At 53.8% G+C, this 13,828-nt stretch overlaps 1 protein-coding gene across 4 annotated transcripts in view; it reads right to left on the bottom strand.

Annotated features, from left to right (window-relative positions):
* The window catches only part of CHST3 (carbohydrate sulfotransferase 3), a 49,164-nt gene continuing 40,524 nt past the window's right edge, over positions 5,189–13,828 (bottom strand). For all 4 annotated transcript variants that reach the window (NM_004273.5, NM_001441202.1, NM_001441201.1 and 1 more), the window contains exons 2-3: positions 12,765–13,011; positions 5,189–11,575 (exon numbers count right to left, since the gene is read on the bottom strand). In NM_004273.5, the coding sequence (NP_004264.2) occupies positions 10,276–11,575; positions 12,765–12,904 (1,440 nt within the window). In that variant the 5' untranslated portion in view covers positions 12,905–13,011 and the 3' untranslated portion in view covers positions 5,189–10,275. The remainder of the gene's footprint in view (positions 11,576–12,764; positions 13,012–13,828) is intronic.

Raw genomic sequence — 13,828 nt, 5'->3', positions numbered from 1 at the left:
ACAGCCCATGGGGTCTTAATACATTGGGTGGGAGGTGTGAGGCAAAGGATAGGACAGGAGGATCTAGGCTTGGAATCCAAGGATGAGTGGCGTGGGTTCATGTTCTGACGCTGCTGGTCATTTCAGCTCTCCGTGCCTCACTCTTCTCTCTGTAAAATAGAATACAGTTGATCAGACCAAACCACTCTGCTTCACTCTGCCTTTCAATGGCTCTCTATAGCTCTTAGGAGCAAGTCAGACCTCTTTTTCTTAGTACATTCGGGCCCCAGTTTTCCTCTCCAGCTTCCTGTCTCATCACCATCTCGGCCAGAGCAAACTGCTTCTTGGTCTCCAAACTTCCCATGTCCCCTTTATCCTCCAGGTCTTTGCACACACAGTGTCCTCTGTCACTCTGTTGAGCTTTCTTGTGTGGGAGAGAATGGAGAAGCATTTGAGCCCAGGCACTGGGAACTGCCATGCTGATCACAGTGAGCGCGTGCCCAAGGGGTCTGTGTGCCCCACAGAGGAGCATGCCCCACTGTGTGCACCGAGGCAGAAATGAGTTGAAAACATTCCAGGGGGCAGCTCTGGCGTGGACTGGATGCAGGCCTAGCCCTGTTCACCTCCAGGTGGGCAAAACCAGCTGTCCTCTTCTTCAGTGTTTATTCTGGCCATCTGCTTAGGTGGGCGGGAGAAGTCTAGGTAGGTGCCGTGAGAGATGGCCAGGGGGTGTTGAGTTCCATGGTGTGCAGACCAGGGAGAGCAACCACCTCATTCCTGAGGTCTAAGCATTAAGAAGCCTAGAGTGTATTTGTTTTTTTTTTAGTAGAGACACAGCTACTGGGGAGGCTGAGGCAGGAGAATGGCATGAACCCAGGAGGCGGAGCTTGCAGTGAGCCGAGATAGCACTGCACTCCAGCCTGGCGACAGAGCAAGACTCTGTCTCAAAAAAAAAGAAGCCTAGAGTGAATGTTGTCAGGAAAGCCAGCCCAGCCCTTAGCATTCCAGGACTTTAAGCCAGGGCTGCAAACCCAAATACCCGTAGTGGCTGGGGAGCTGTCACAGTGAATGGCTTGGGAGCCGTGGCCCTCTTGGCCTGACACTTTCTCATGTTGGACAGACATGAATTCACAGAGAAGATATTGTGTTGGAAGTCAAACATCAGTGCAAGTGCTATGATACATGGCAAAGGGCATTGCTGCCTCAGTAATTGGGGAGACCGGGGGATGGGCAGGTGGGGACCCTGACCTTCTCCGGTTAAAAAGGCTGCTGCCCCCTCCCACCAGAGCCTATTTTTCCTGTGGGAATGAGAGCACCCCAGGGCGTAGATGTTGTCAGACCGTGCCCTATCCCCTACACCTAACCTTTTACTGTGCTCTGGAAACTTCTAGCCACCTGTATCTTTACCTCTGAGTCTAATGGTTTGTTCCAGAGTTTGGGAATGCTGTTCTGCTGGGGCCAGCGGCTGTGCTGTGAAATTAATACCCTCCAAGAGCAGTCTCAGCCAGAAGCTGACAGGCACTGGTGTAGGAACCTTCAGACTCCCTCTCCTCACCCCGGGGTGGAGTGAGTCCAAGGCACCGGCTTTGCACTGTGGTTCCCAGAGGGATTCGGCTCCAGTTCCCCAAAGTGGCAGCTGGCTCAGCGGCACGGTTCTGCTGGCTGCCTGCCTCCTCTCCTCCCTTGCCGGACCATCCACAGCTCCTAAAGAAACCATTTTGCCCTTGTCCCAGTGTCAGCTGCCGGTGTAACCCAAACCAAGACACCTGATTTTCAAGAGGAGCCAAGTCTGCCTTTTATATAAAACCCCTTCAGTTTTTAGTGTTGTCCTTGAATGCCAACTGTTTGTTTTTGAGACAGAGTCTCACTTTGTCACCCAGGCTAGAGTGCAGTGATGTGATCACAGCTCACTGCAGCCTCAACCTCCTGGGCTTAGGCAATCCTCCCACCTCAGCCTCCCGAGTAGCTAGGACTACAGGTGCGCACCACCACACTCGGTGAATATTTTGTTTTGTATCTGTAGAGACAGGGTTTCACCGTGTTGCCCAGGCTGGTCTCACACTCCTGGATTCAAGTGATCCACCTGCCTTGGCCTCCCAGGGTGCTGGGGGTTATAGGTGTGAGCCACCGTGCTGGCCTGCCGATTGTTAAAAACAGAAACAAACATGGTGTGAGCCACATATCCATGGGGCAAATTAGCCCCATGGCCAAAGGTGTACAGGACTGAGTGTACCTGGGCTTGGCCTGACCCTCTAAACTCTTGGGCACTGTGGCTGTGGCTATCCCCAAGGGTGTTCTTTTCAACAACTTGGCTGTCTTCCTCCTCTGCATTGGCATGAAATGCATCCCACTGTCACCCTCCCTCCCTTCCTCTCTCCCTTCCTTTCCCAACCTTCCCCACCCTTCCTTCCTCTTTCTTTTTCTTCTTTTTAAGAGGTGGGATCTTGCCATGTTGACCAGGCTGTTCTCGAACTCCTAGCCGCAAGCAATCCTCCCATCTCAGCCTCCCAAAGTGCTGGAATTATAGGTGTGAGCCACCGCGCCCAGCCTCTTCCTCCCTTTTTTCCTTCTTTCCTCTTCTCTTCCCTCTCCTTCCTTCCCCCTCCCTCCCTTCCTTCTTTTTCCCCCTTCTAATTTTCTTGGGCGGGCCTCTCCTGCTGGGCACTTACTACCTGCTTCTTCTTCCAATAAACGGCCCGCAGATTTCAGCGAAGGTTTTACTAGCTACTAGAGGATTACACCTCCAGGAAACCTATTTACTGCTGGTAACCTTTGTCCCACTGTTTCAGAAATGGCTCCTTTAAGAGCAATCTCAAACTCCTATTTCTCAGATAAATAGTATCCCGTGGTGTTTATACCTGGCCTGGTTCTCCAGAGTTCCCACTCTCTGTGGGGTGTTCCACATCTTTTGGGTCATGCCACGGAGGCCCCACAGCGTGGGTTGAGTTGAGGAAGCCAAGAACCAGGGAGGTTTGGGGACAGCAAGTCTCAGGGCCTTGAACCCTGGCCCTCAGTGCCCCGAACCCTGGCTCTCAGTGCCCCTGAGGCTGCTGCAATCTCTGAGGGCTCCTCTTAGCCTGGCAGCTCGGGGAGGATGGTGTGAAGGGGGATGGGCCTTAAACCCAACCCTAGATTTTTTCTCCCAGCCAACTCACCCACCACCTAATGGCTGCTTAGGGTGGCTTTTGGTCCTACACACTTCCAGCTGCAGGCTGCTGGTAGCTACTAACTCTTTTGCAGAATGACAGAGTCTTGGCTAGGTATAGTGTCTCATGCCTATAATCCCAACACTTTGGTAGGCTGAGGCCGGCAGATTGCTTGAGTTCGGAGTTCAAGACCAGCCTAGGCAACATGGCGAGATCCCATTACTACAAAAAATACAAAAAAGCTAGCAAGTGTGGTGCATGCCTATAGTCCCAGCTACTTGGGAGGCTGAGGCAGGAGGACTGCTTGAGCCTGAGAGGTCCAGGCTGCAGTGAGCTGTGATTGCGTCATTGCACTCCCACCTGGGTGACAGAGTCTTAAAAAATAAAGAAGGCCAGAGTCTTGAAAAAGACTGTTGTTTGGAAAAAAGTTTTTCATGATAAACGAATTCCATAAAAATGGTTCTTTCTAGAAGGTAATCCTTAATGCTGGGTGAGTCAAAGGAAAGCGGCCTACCTGGAGCCTGTAATCGCAAATGTGCACTGTAACTTCCCAAGAGCAATCCTGTGACCACAGTTTCTCCAAACACACTTGAGGATGCTGCTGCAGGCTCCAGGGCTGGGCCAGTGCTGGGCCTGGCAGGGCTCTGTGGGCAATGGCACAGGTCCCTGACCCCAGCCCCCTGCTGATCAAACTGCTTTCCAGAGAGTCCCAGCCAACTCTCCCTGTCCCAGAGAGCCCACGGGGCGCTTGACTCCTCCCCAGGGTTGAGTAAATTGGGGTGTAGGAAGGAAGACTGACGATCCTGAAGGGGTCTGGGGGTGGGGGAAAGGAGGAGGAGGAGAGACGGTTCCGGCCTGGCAGCTGAGGGGTGGGTGGGTGGGGAGGTGTCCAGGCTTCTCTGCTCTGTGATTAGTGCAATTTGTTTCCCCAGGGGGTCATTTGTGGTAGGAAACACAGCCCAGAAATTAAACTAACTATATCCAGCCCCCAGCGTAGGGGAGACAGCAATAGCACCTGACTGGGGTGGGCAGCTTCTGTTCAGGTTGGGATGACAGGCACCGGCTCAAATACTTTAAGAGGTGGGAGGGAGCTGGCTTGAGCTTCCCAAGCCTGGACTGGGTGAACTGGCAGAGACACAGGTTAAGATTTGGGGAGGGGGGCCTGTTCCCTCACATTGAGCCTCTCTGAGTCTTCATTCCCTCACTCCAGGAGCCACTGTCCCCGTGCTCAGCCCTCCTCTGCCTCTTCCTGCAGCTGCTGGTCCTGCTACCCCTGTGTCCTGAGACCCACAAAGCCCCACCAGCTCTGGCTTCTGTGTTCCAAAATGAGCTCTCTCCCTTCTCCCCAGGGAAACACCCATGCTCTGCAGGCAGCTCTTGGGAGACAAGCAGGGCTGAAATGTAGTAAGAACTAAAGTTGTTATGACGGATGTAACTGCAATTTGAAAGGACTCCATTCAATTTCTTAGCTGAAAGGGTCCTTGGCAACCTTCTTATGTGTTTTTGGAGATTTAGTTGAAGGCCAAATAAATCTGAAATGCTATCTGAACACGTGAAGCAGATCAAAACGCACAGTGACTCTTGTTGAGAGGGTGCCGCCTGCCCTTTCAGCTGACTTTTGAATCCCTAATGGGGCTTTTTGGGAACAATGTTTGTGAACAACTGATTACACCTTCATTCTAAAAGGAAACTGGTGTCCAAGTAAGGGAAGTGACTTATGCAAGGTCACACAGCCAGACAGTGGCAAAGCTGGGACTCATCCCCAGGCCCCCTGACCGCTGGCCCAACACTCCTGTCTCTGCCCCCAAATACCTGGGTTTTCTCTCTCTCCGCTCAGCGCAGTCCCCATCAGCTCTGCCAGCCTGGTGACGCAAGGTACATTCATCCTGCCCCATATTCCCCTAGTGCCTTTGGTCCCTTGGGAATGGGCAGGGGGATTCTCTGTCCTGCTTCATGCTGGAAGTCACCTCCTTTCTACCACTGTTAATTAAAAAAAAAAAAAAATTATGACCCAATTGCTGCTGAGAACAAATGCAAAGGAAAAGGCAGAGACACGCTGCAGGTTTTGCTCATTGCATGATTTCATCTTTAATTAAATAAGTCAAGTAGGCCATCAGGAGTTGGGTTCACATTCTATTCTGCAAAGCAGGCCCTGACTGCTGGGGCTGCCAGCTCTCTGAAGGGCAGCCCCAGCGTTTCCAGGAGACGGCAGATTGTCTGTGGCCATGGCAAGGACATCTGGGACGACAGTGACAGCAATGGGGCTGGGAGCAATGTGGAACGGCGCCAGAGGCTGAGCAGAATGAGCTACATGCTACACATACACACACGTGGATGCATATGTACATACCATGGCAGTGTATGCCGTGAAGGGGTGTCTCGTACCATGCAGACATGAAATAGCAAACAGGGCTGAGGTGTTGGCAAAAAGACAGTGTGCAGGACCTGGGAGGGAGCAGGGGAGCCAGGAAAATTTGGACTAGAATATACAGCTGAGATGGAGACTTCAGGGGGTGCCCAGTTCAAGCCAATGGCAGAAGACGCAGACCACATGGGTCATTGTATCCCCCCAGCAAAGCACCTGATCCATGACATGAGCTAGGCCTGTGAGGATGGCGCCATGTCTGTAGCCTTGGAAACACGTAACAAATTTGTCCCCAGTCCAGTTACGGGGTGCCAAAGGACACGAGACCAAAGGATCTTGGAGCTCTTGAGACAAGTGAAGTTGCCAATTCTGCTTTGTGCTTTTGAGGTAAAGAGCAGCTTCCACTGTCTCTGAAACTGCAGCGAGTTGACAGGTGATGCGGCTGCATTTAGGAAGCCCTGGACCCTCTCCCTTCCATCTGGCTGCGCCTTGTCCTAGAAGCTTCACAAGCAAACCCACCAACTCAGGAGCCCTGGATTTCAGCAGATGGTCCTTCTATCAGCTTGTACAGATCAATAAGACACACTTGGCTTGTGCAGGCATCTGCTTCCACTCAGCCCCAATTTCTCTCCCCTTAGCTCTCCTTGCCTCAGGTATCAGCCCTTGAGATCTGGCTTCACTTTCTGACTTTGGGAATGGGGATGGGAGGGGACTGCCTTGAGGACACAGCCATCCAGTCTTCTGCTCCTGTCTTAGCAAGGGACAAGCCCTACAGTCAATTGGTCTCACCATGTTGCCCAGGCTGGTCTCCAACTCTTGGGCTCAAGCAATCCTCCCACCTTGGCCTCCCCAACTGCTGGGATTACAGGTATGAGCCACCGCACCTGGCCTCTACGGTCAATAGGCCCTAGTATAGGAGAGGATGACCCGGGGCTGGAAGACTTTAGGGTCAGGATATCTCCTCTACCACCCAGGCCAAGAATCAACCTTCTGGGAAGGACCTCCTGCTGAAGCTCCTTCCATTGCCAGACAGACAGATGGCAGAGATGGGAGGGAAAGATGTCGTGTGATGCCTGGTGCCCTCTGTTCTGTGGGGTTTGGTCAGCAGCTGCCCCACTACGCCAGCCTCTGGCAGTAGCTCCCAGGCTGAGGGTGCTAGCAGACCGGAAGTAAACTTGTTATTAAACATCTCTTTTCTGTTTATTTTCAAGTGCATGTATTGCAGAAGGACAAAAGCCTAAATTTGCTTTATGTTCCTCAGCTTTTGGAAAATAACTCGGTGACCACCTGCGGTGTATGTGACAGAGACTGGCTTCTATGCACATCTGGTCTTCTCTTTCCCTCTCTATGGGGACCTGAGAATCCTGCCCTCCACTAACTACTCCCAAGGACCCTCCAGGGCCCTCATCCATTCCTCAATTTATAAACAGGTCCCGAGGGGAAGATGGGAACAGGCAGAGTGGGGACAGCCTGTGAGCATTGGACGCTGCTGTGTCTCACCAAGGCCTGGAACGTTCTGAGCCATTTCTATATGCTGGGCCGCAGAACTCATCAACAAGAAAGAACATGAGTAAACACTCATTGCTGAATGGTCCCCTTGTGCTAGGGAGGCTGGCGGCCAGTGGAGAGAGGCCTCAGCTGCTCCCTCTGTCTCCGGGCAGGTGGGCACCTTGCAGGGGAAGGCTTCTGGCAGACAAGCTGGAACAGAGGAGAAGCCAGGGCTGGCCTCGCTGGAAAAAGAGGCCCGGCCACCAGTGCTTCCATCTTCTCCATCCCAGCTCCAAGCTGAAAATCATATCCACATGGGTGACTCCAACCATATCCATAACGTTTCAAGCCAATAGTCACACCACACTGTCCTTCCCCAAACCCCAAGGGTTCCCAGAGCATCGCTGAGCCCCAGGGGAATACACTTCCAGGAAACATCCACGCGCTTGTGACCTGTCTCAAACACCCGGGCAGAGGTAATACAGCAGCAAGGGCCCTGATGTAGCATCTCAGATCAACAAGAGAGAAACCAAGGGATCTCAGATCTTAAACAACGTCCTGGGGCCATCGTGGTGCTGGCGCTCCAGCTCATTCTCCTCTTGTGTTCTGAATCGTCTTCTGGTGTCCATGCATGAACGGAGTGTGTGAATGGTTTCTATTGTTATTTTGTCTTTCTTGATTTGGGTACAGCTTTGAGTCCCTGCAGATAATAAGGTATTTTCTGTCTCTTCTTTTCAAAAAATAAATAAATTAAGTCAACCTGCAGTGTGCACATTGTCAATGTCCTGAGAAGTCCCAAAGGCCCATTCTTGGTACCATCCTCAGAGGGCGGAGTGGGAGGTCTTGGCCCAGAGTAAGAAGGAGGGATAAAGTCTACTGTCCACATTAGCAGGGCCCCTAGGAAGAGCCTTGGATGGAGGTGGCTGCCCCCTCCCCAGTCCCAGCCCCTCCGACCTCCACATGGGGAACAGAGGAGGGAGCAGTGGGGAGGCTGGGGAAGAACGGCCAGCACTTCTGGGCCTGCCAGAAACATCCTGGCCCCACGGTCATGTTTTCAGAGCTGGTGTTCCTTTGAACTCCAAATTAGAACCATGTCTCTGCACAACTTACTCTTGGACTCTAAAACCAAGAGTGTTGGGGTGTTCAGGCAAAATAGCAAAAGAAAAGAAAATAAAAAAAACCCAAGAGTGGAGACCTCCTTGAATGACTGGAGTCCACAGTGACAGAGACCCAGCAGCTCAAATAGGCTGATTATAGCGAATCCCATGAGATGGTTACTGGCCTCACCTTCTCCAATGGTGGCTTCCTGCCAGGACACACTCTTCCCTCCCCCATGGCAATGTTGGACTCAGATCCTGTACTTCCATGGTGTCCATATTACTCAACCCAAAATGCAGCCCTCTGGGTTTACAATGGGCCGTATCTGACAGAGAAATTGTCCAGGAAACCAGAAGCAGAGCTGGGCAGCCCTCGGCAAACCCTTGCAGCTCCTTGTAAGCTCTGGATACTGAGTTCTGCTCCTGGGTTTGAGGTGGGAGTGGGGAAGGCCTTCTACTCTGGGTACACTTGTCGCTTGTCATGAGGCCCCTGCCCACCCAGGAAACATGTTAGGGCCTGTGAGGGATTTTCAAATCCAGCTTCTTCTCAGGGAGGGGCGAGGGCTGCAAATCTCTGCTGCTCTGGACACTAGGCAAGAACGCTGGTGGCTTTGAGATTCATCCCACATGGGGTTCAAACAGAAAAGCCCATAGGGCACTGTGGCCTGCCACGTGGCCACCTCTCCTCGTTCCTCCTGGGGAAGGCTCCTCCTCCTGTCCTCTCCCTCTGCCAGGAGCCAAGTGCTCCCTGCTGGTTTTCCCCAGCCTCCCTCAAGCCCTCAGGCCTCCACTGCTTGGAAGAGGCGCTCCTACAGAAACAAAAGCAAAAACACAGCCATGAAACAAGAAAGACACCAAGCCATAAATAAAAGCCCGAAACAAAACACCCAGCACATCCTGCGTTAAGCAATACTCTTCCCAGGGCCCTAAGGAGGAATTCCAGGCACTGGCTGTAACCACAGCAACCAACTGGCTGACTCCTGTCCACGAGGGAGAAGGCGGGCTTCTCAGGGGAGGGGGGGCATCCTGGTGGGACTTCTCCCCCACGGGCACTCTGTACTTTCCTCTTGGCCCTACCCCAGATGAGGCCTGGCTGGAAATGGAAGGCCCCGTGAGCTGCCTTTTGCCTCCAGGGACCACAGCTGCTTCTGCCTGCCAGGCCTGAGGCAGCCTTCAAATATGGACATGTTCGGGAGCCAGCCAAGCTAGACGGGGCCTTTGGCTGCACCATTTCAAAACATCCTGCCTGCCAGCCGCAAGGATGTGGATGGGTCAGAGGAGGTAGCCATGAGAATCTAAGGCGGGCAGGGGCTTTGAACGCTGCAGTTCTGAATCCACTGTTCAGTCCAAACCCGGCCAGGGAACTGTGTCATGTCATGGCCCTTTAACGCGTTTCTTTCCCCTGCCCTGCCCTCGAAATAATCCTACAAATGTTAAGCACAGGCTCCTCTGAGGTGTGTCATACAGAAAAACCCTGTGGGCATAAGCAGCGAGGAAGCTTGTCTGCATAGATGTGTGTGCACTTGTGCCTTTATGATGCTTGTCTATGTATGGTGTACATGTATGTATGTCTATACGCATGTGTGTGTTTTGCAGCTCTATAAGGGGCCCATATTCATCAGTAACCAGCACAGCCAACCCATTCATGAAAACGCTGAATCGCTCTGTACTAGTTGGTAAACAGCCACTGTCACCTCAAACGAGCCTCAAATGCCACCTTTGACACCCACGGCTGTCCTAGCCCCTCCTCCAAGGACCCACCCAGATTCCAGACTTCACCATCCAGACAAGAAACGGTTAACACCAAATAAAGCAGGAGGTCTGACTGTCACTGGTCAGAGCCTTGCCCCTTCTGATTGTTAAATATTTGGACTCTGGCCTGCAGGGTCTCCAGGCACGAATGTATGTTTCTGTGTGTGTGAGATCGAAGCTTGCCAACAGGCCCGGGCCTGCCTAGGCCTGCTCAGGAGGCTGCAACCCGTTGGGTCTGGGTGTGATGGCCCTCAAGGGGACCGGGCACTGTCCTGTTCTCCGCAATTAACCCTGGGGCCGCCGCTTTGGCTGGAGCGCTGGCTGGGGGCCCTACTGCTACAGGAGGCGCTGCCCGCTCATGGCGCTGTGCACCCGCCCTCTGCGAGGGCTGCGGCAGAAAGACGGGGCAGGCCTTTCACGAGGAGGGGCATACGGGGCCCCGGCCCCCCTACGTGACCCAGAAGGTGCCCCTCTCCTCCAGCAGGCTGACTGAGCGGTTGGTGAGGGCGGCGGCGTCCCGCGCCAGTTTGTAGCCGAAGAGGCGCATGGCAGGGCCGCAGGCGGCCTGCACCACCTGGGCCAGCTTGAAGGGCATGCTGAAGCGCCACTTCTCGAACTGCTCCGAGGAGTTCTTCTGCGTGGAGTAGATGCCGCTGCCGTCGTGGGCCGCCTGCGTGTTCTTTTGGATCCAGTCTTCCACCTGCGGGGTCAGGGGGATGCCGGCGAAGCGGTACATCTCGCGGGCCTTCTGCAGCGGCCCGCGTGCCACGTCCTCGTAGCGCACCAGCATGTAGCGGCCCCGCAGCCAGGCGGGCTGCCGCAGCCCCAGCTCCGCGGACAGGCGGATGCTCTCGCAGTTGCCCCGCAGCCGCTGCACCTCCTCTTCCCTCAGGCCGTCCTGGCCCTCGTCGTCCAGCCACTTCTTCCAGGTCTTATACTTGCCGGCGAAGGCCACCATGCGCGAGGCCAGCACGGCCCGGGGGTCGCGCACCAGCTGGATGACGCGCAGGTCCAGGCGGGGGTCCTCGGCCAGCGGCTGCAGGAACTCCAGCTGCCGGATGCGCACCGCCTTGAGGGCCATGTGCTCCTTGCGGCGGCAGGCCTCTGCGGCCAGCGTCACGTTGAGGGGGCCGCAGCGGCGGTTCTTGCAGTGGTACTTCTCGAAGACCTTCTTGACGAAGGGCGTACAGACGGGGTCCTCGCACAGGGAGCGGCTGGAGCCCCGGCGGAACATGAACTGAGTCAGGTGGTCCTCGGGCAGCGGCGTGATGAAGTGCTCCAGCACGTACAGGTCGCACAGGAAGAGCTGCTTGAGCACGTCGCGGTACACCAGGGCCGAGCCCGCGGCGTTGGCGCCCCCCGGCTCGAAGGACACTGTGCGCTCGATGTGCCACAGCGGCTCGAAGAGGTAGAAGATGTTGCCCTGCTGGTTGAAGAACTCGCCCACGAACGAGGAGCCGGTGCGCGTGGTGGCCATGAGCAGCACGTGGCGCCGGGGCCCCGCCACGGCCGGTCTGGGCGGCTCCTCCTCCTTTCTCTGCTCTTCCTCTTCCTCCCCTGCGGCCTCCATGGCTGGCTCCACGCCCAGCTGCAAGCTGAGGTTGCGGAGACGGCTCTGAAGCTGGGAGAAGGCTGAATCGAGCTCGCTCAGGGACAAGAGAGATGCGTTCTCAGCTAAGATCAGGGCTGGGTCGGTGCTGTTGGCATCTGCTAGAGCTTGGGGAATCTGCTTCAGCTTGTCTGAGACCCTGTGAGGACAAAGAAGATCAGGGTCAGTGGCTGACTGGGGACCCCGTCTCCTGGGCAACCCTAAGCAGTCCTCCAAGCAGATCACCAAAACCTGTCTCAGTTGGGTTTCCCCAAAAGCAGACGTTGAGGCAAGGATTTGTGTTTAAGTAAGTTTATTTGGGACATGATCACAGGAAGTACTGGATGGGGAAGTGAGGCAGGGGAGGAAAGAGGTGCATGATGGATGTGCTGCTAGGAGCAGGTGTGGGCATCGGAGGCTTAGTCTGATGGGGATCTGGGGGGGACAGTTACTCCCTAGTACTTCCGGCTTGCCAGTGTGCCAGTGGAGAGAAAGCTCTCAGGTGCAGAGCTGTAGGGGCTTGCAGTAGAACCCAATAGGCACAAGCTAGAACGGTCCTTGCTCAGTGACCCAAGGGGGGGGATTGACGGTGTCCACTATATTGCCCAATCCCTGACCCACCCATCTTAGCTAATGCTTTCTTGCAGGGCTTGTGCCTGGGAGGAGAACAGGCTAAGAAATCTTTCTACATCTAACAGGCCCACTGCACATAGCTGTATGCTGCCAATTCAAAGGGGTAAAGGGGCGTTCCCAGATTAGCCTATTTGAGGGACATGCCCCTGGAGTTGAGCAGTACACAACTTGGCAGCTGCACATTGGCAGCCTTGCCCATCAGAGTATCCATACTAGGACCTTGCCTTTCCATGGGCTCAGTGACATCAAGACTTCTATAGGGGATGTGCTGCTAATGCAAGGCCAGGAGGTAAATTAACAGTAATAGTCACAGCCAGCAAATACTGGACACCAACTATGTGCCAGGCAGTGGGCTAAATGCTTTTACATTTTCTCATTTAATCTTTACAACAATGCTGGTCCCATTATTAGCCATGTTTTACAAAAGAGGAACCGAAGACTCAGAAATGTTAAGTATCTTGTCTAACCTTTCACAGCTGTAGAGGGCCAACATGGGGGGGCTCCAACCCAGGCTGTTTGAGTCCAGAGCCCAAGTCTCACCCCTGTGCAGTCATGAGGACGTGTGCAGGAGCCACTGCCTGGGACATAGAAGGGGCCTGGGGATGGCTCGTTGAAGGAATGCATTTGCAGGTCCACAGAGAGCCCTGCAGTTACCTCCCTGTCCCCACCCACCCCACCTTGAAAGGAAGATGAAGACTTGGGCTTGCAACCCTCACCTTGATATGATTTTATTTTCCTTTTCGATGAAGACAAAAACTATCACCACAAAAACCAAGAAAAGGGCGTATTTGCTTCTCATCTTCAGGCTGTGCACAAAGTCCCGGCAGTCCTGGGGCAAAGTGAGTCCTTTCTCCATGGGGAAAGGTGGGGCCGTGGGGGCTCCTCGGGCCAGCCTTGGACACTCAGCTGAGGGGCATCACTCAGGACCCAGCTTGCCGTCTTCAGGTGGGGGACACCCTTGTCCTGCGGAGAGACAGGTGGTCAGAACACCCTTGTCTGTACACGAGGAATGCAGAGGATGTCTCTCCACCAGACTTTTGAGGATCTCGGCCCTGGTTAGCAGCCAGGACCCCAGACCCACTCTCCAGACAGACTGTGCCCCAGAGACACTGAAGGTCTCTTTAATAGGTCATTTAAAATGCTAATGAACCATCGGGTTCATCCATCCCACCTCCATCAGTTTCTCCCTTGACCTCACACATCAAAGGCCTGTGCACGGAAAAGAATAACCTTTGTAGCATAAATGTTTATAATAGCAAAAAGAGTGCAAACACCTAAATGAAAATGGTGGAGCATCCAGGTAATGGATTTTTATGTGGCCACAAAGAATAATGAGGTGGATGTATAAATGTGAATGATCCAGAAAATACATGAGAACACACACACACACACACACAGACACACACACACACACAAAGGTGCAGACCCTGTGCTTATGCAGGACGGGGCTTCCCAACCTCAGCACTGTTGACATTTTCCACCAGGTAAGTGGGGACTGTCCTGTGAATTATAGAATGTTTGACAGCAGTCTTGGCCTCTACCCACTAATTGCCAATAATTGTTTGTTTGTTTTTGAGACAGGGTCTCACTATGTTGCCCAGGCTGGAGTGCAGTGGCACGATCATAGTTTACTGCAGCCTCAACCTCCCAGGCTCAATTGATCCTCCCACCTCAGCCCCCTTAGTCACCACAAGTGCACACCACCACACCCAGCTAATTTTTAAAATTTTTTGTAGAGATGGGGTCTTGCCATGTTGCCCAGCCTGGTCTTGAACTCCTG

This window comes from Homo sapiens, chromosome 10 (assembly GCF_000001405.40).
Source record: "Homo sapiens chromosome 10, GRCh38.p14 Primary Assembly".
In the NCBI taxonomy this organism is placed as follows: Eukaryota; Metazoa; Chordata; class Mammalia; order Primates; family Hominidae; genus Homo; species Homo sapiens.
This window is presented reverse-complemented; position numbering and strand designations above follow the sequence as displayed.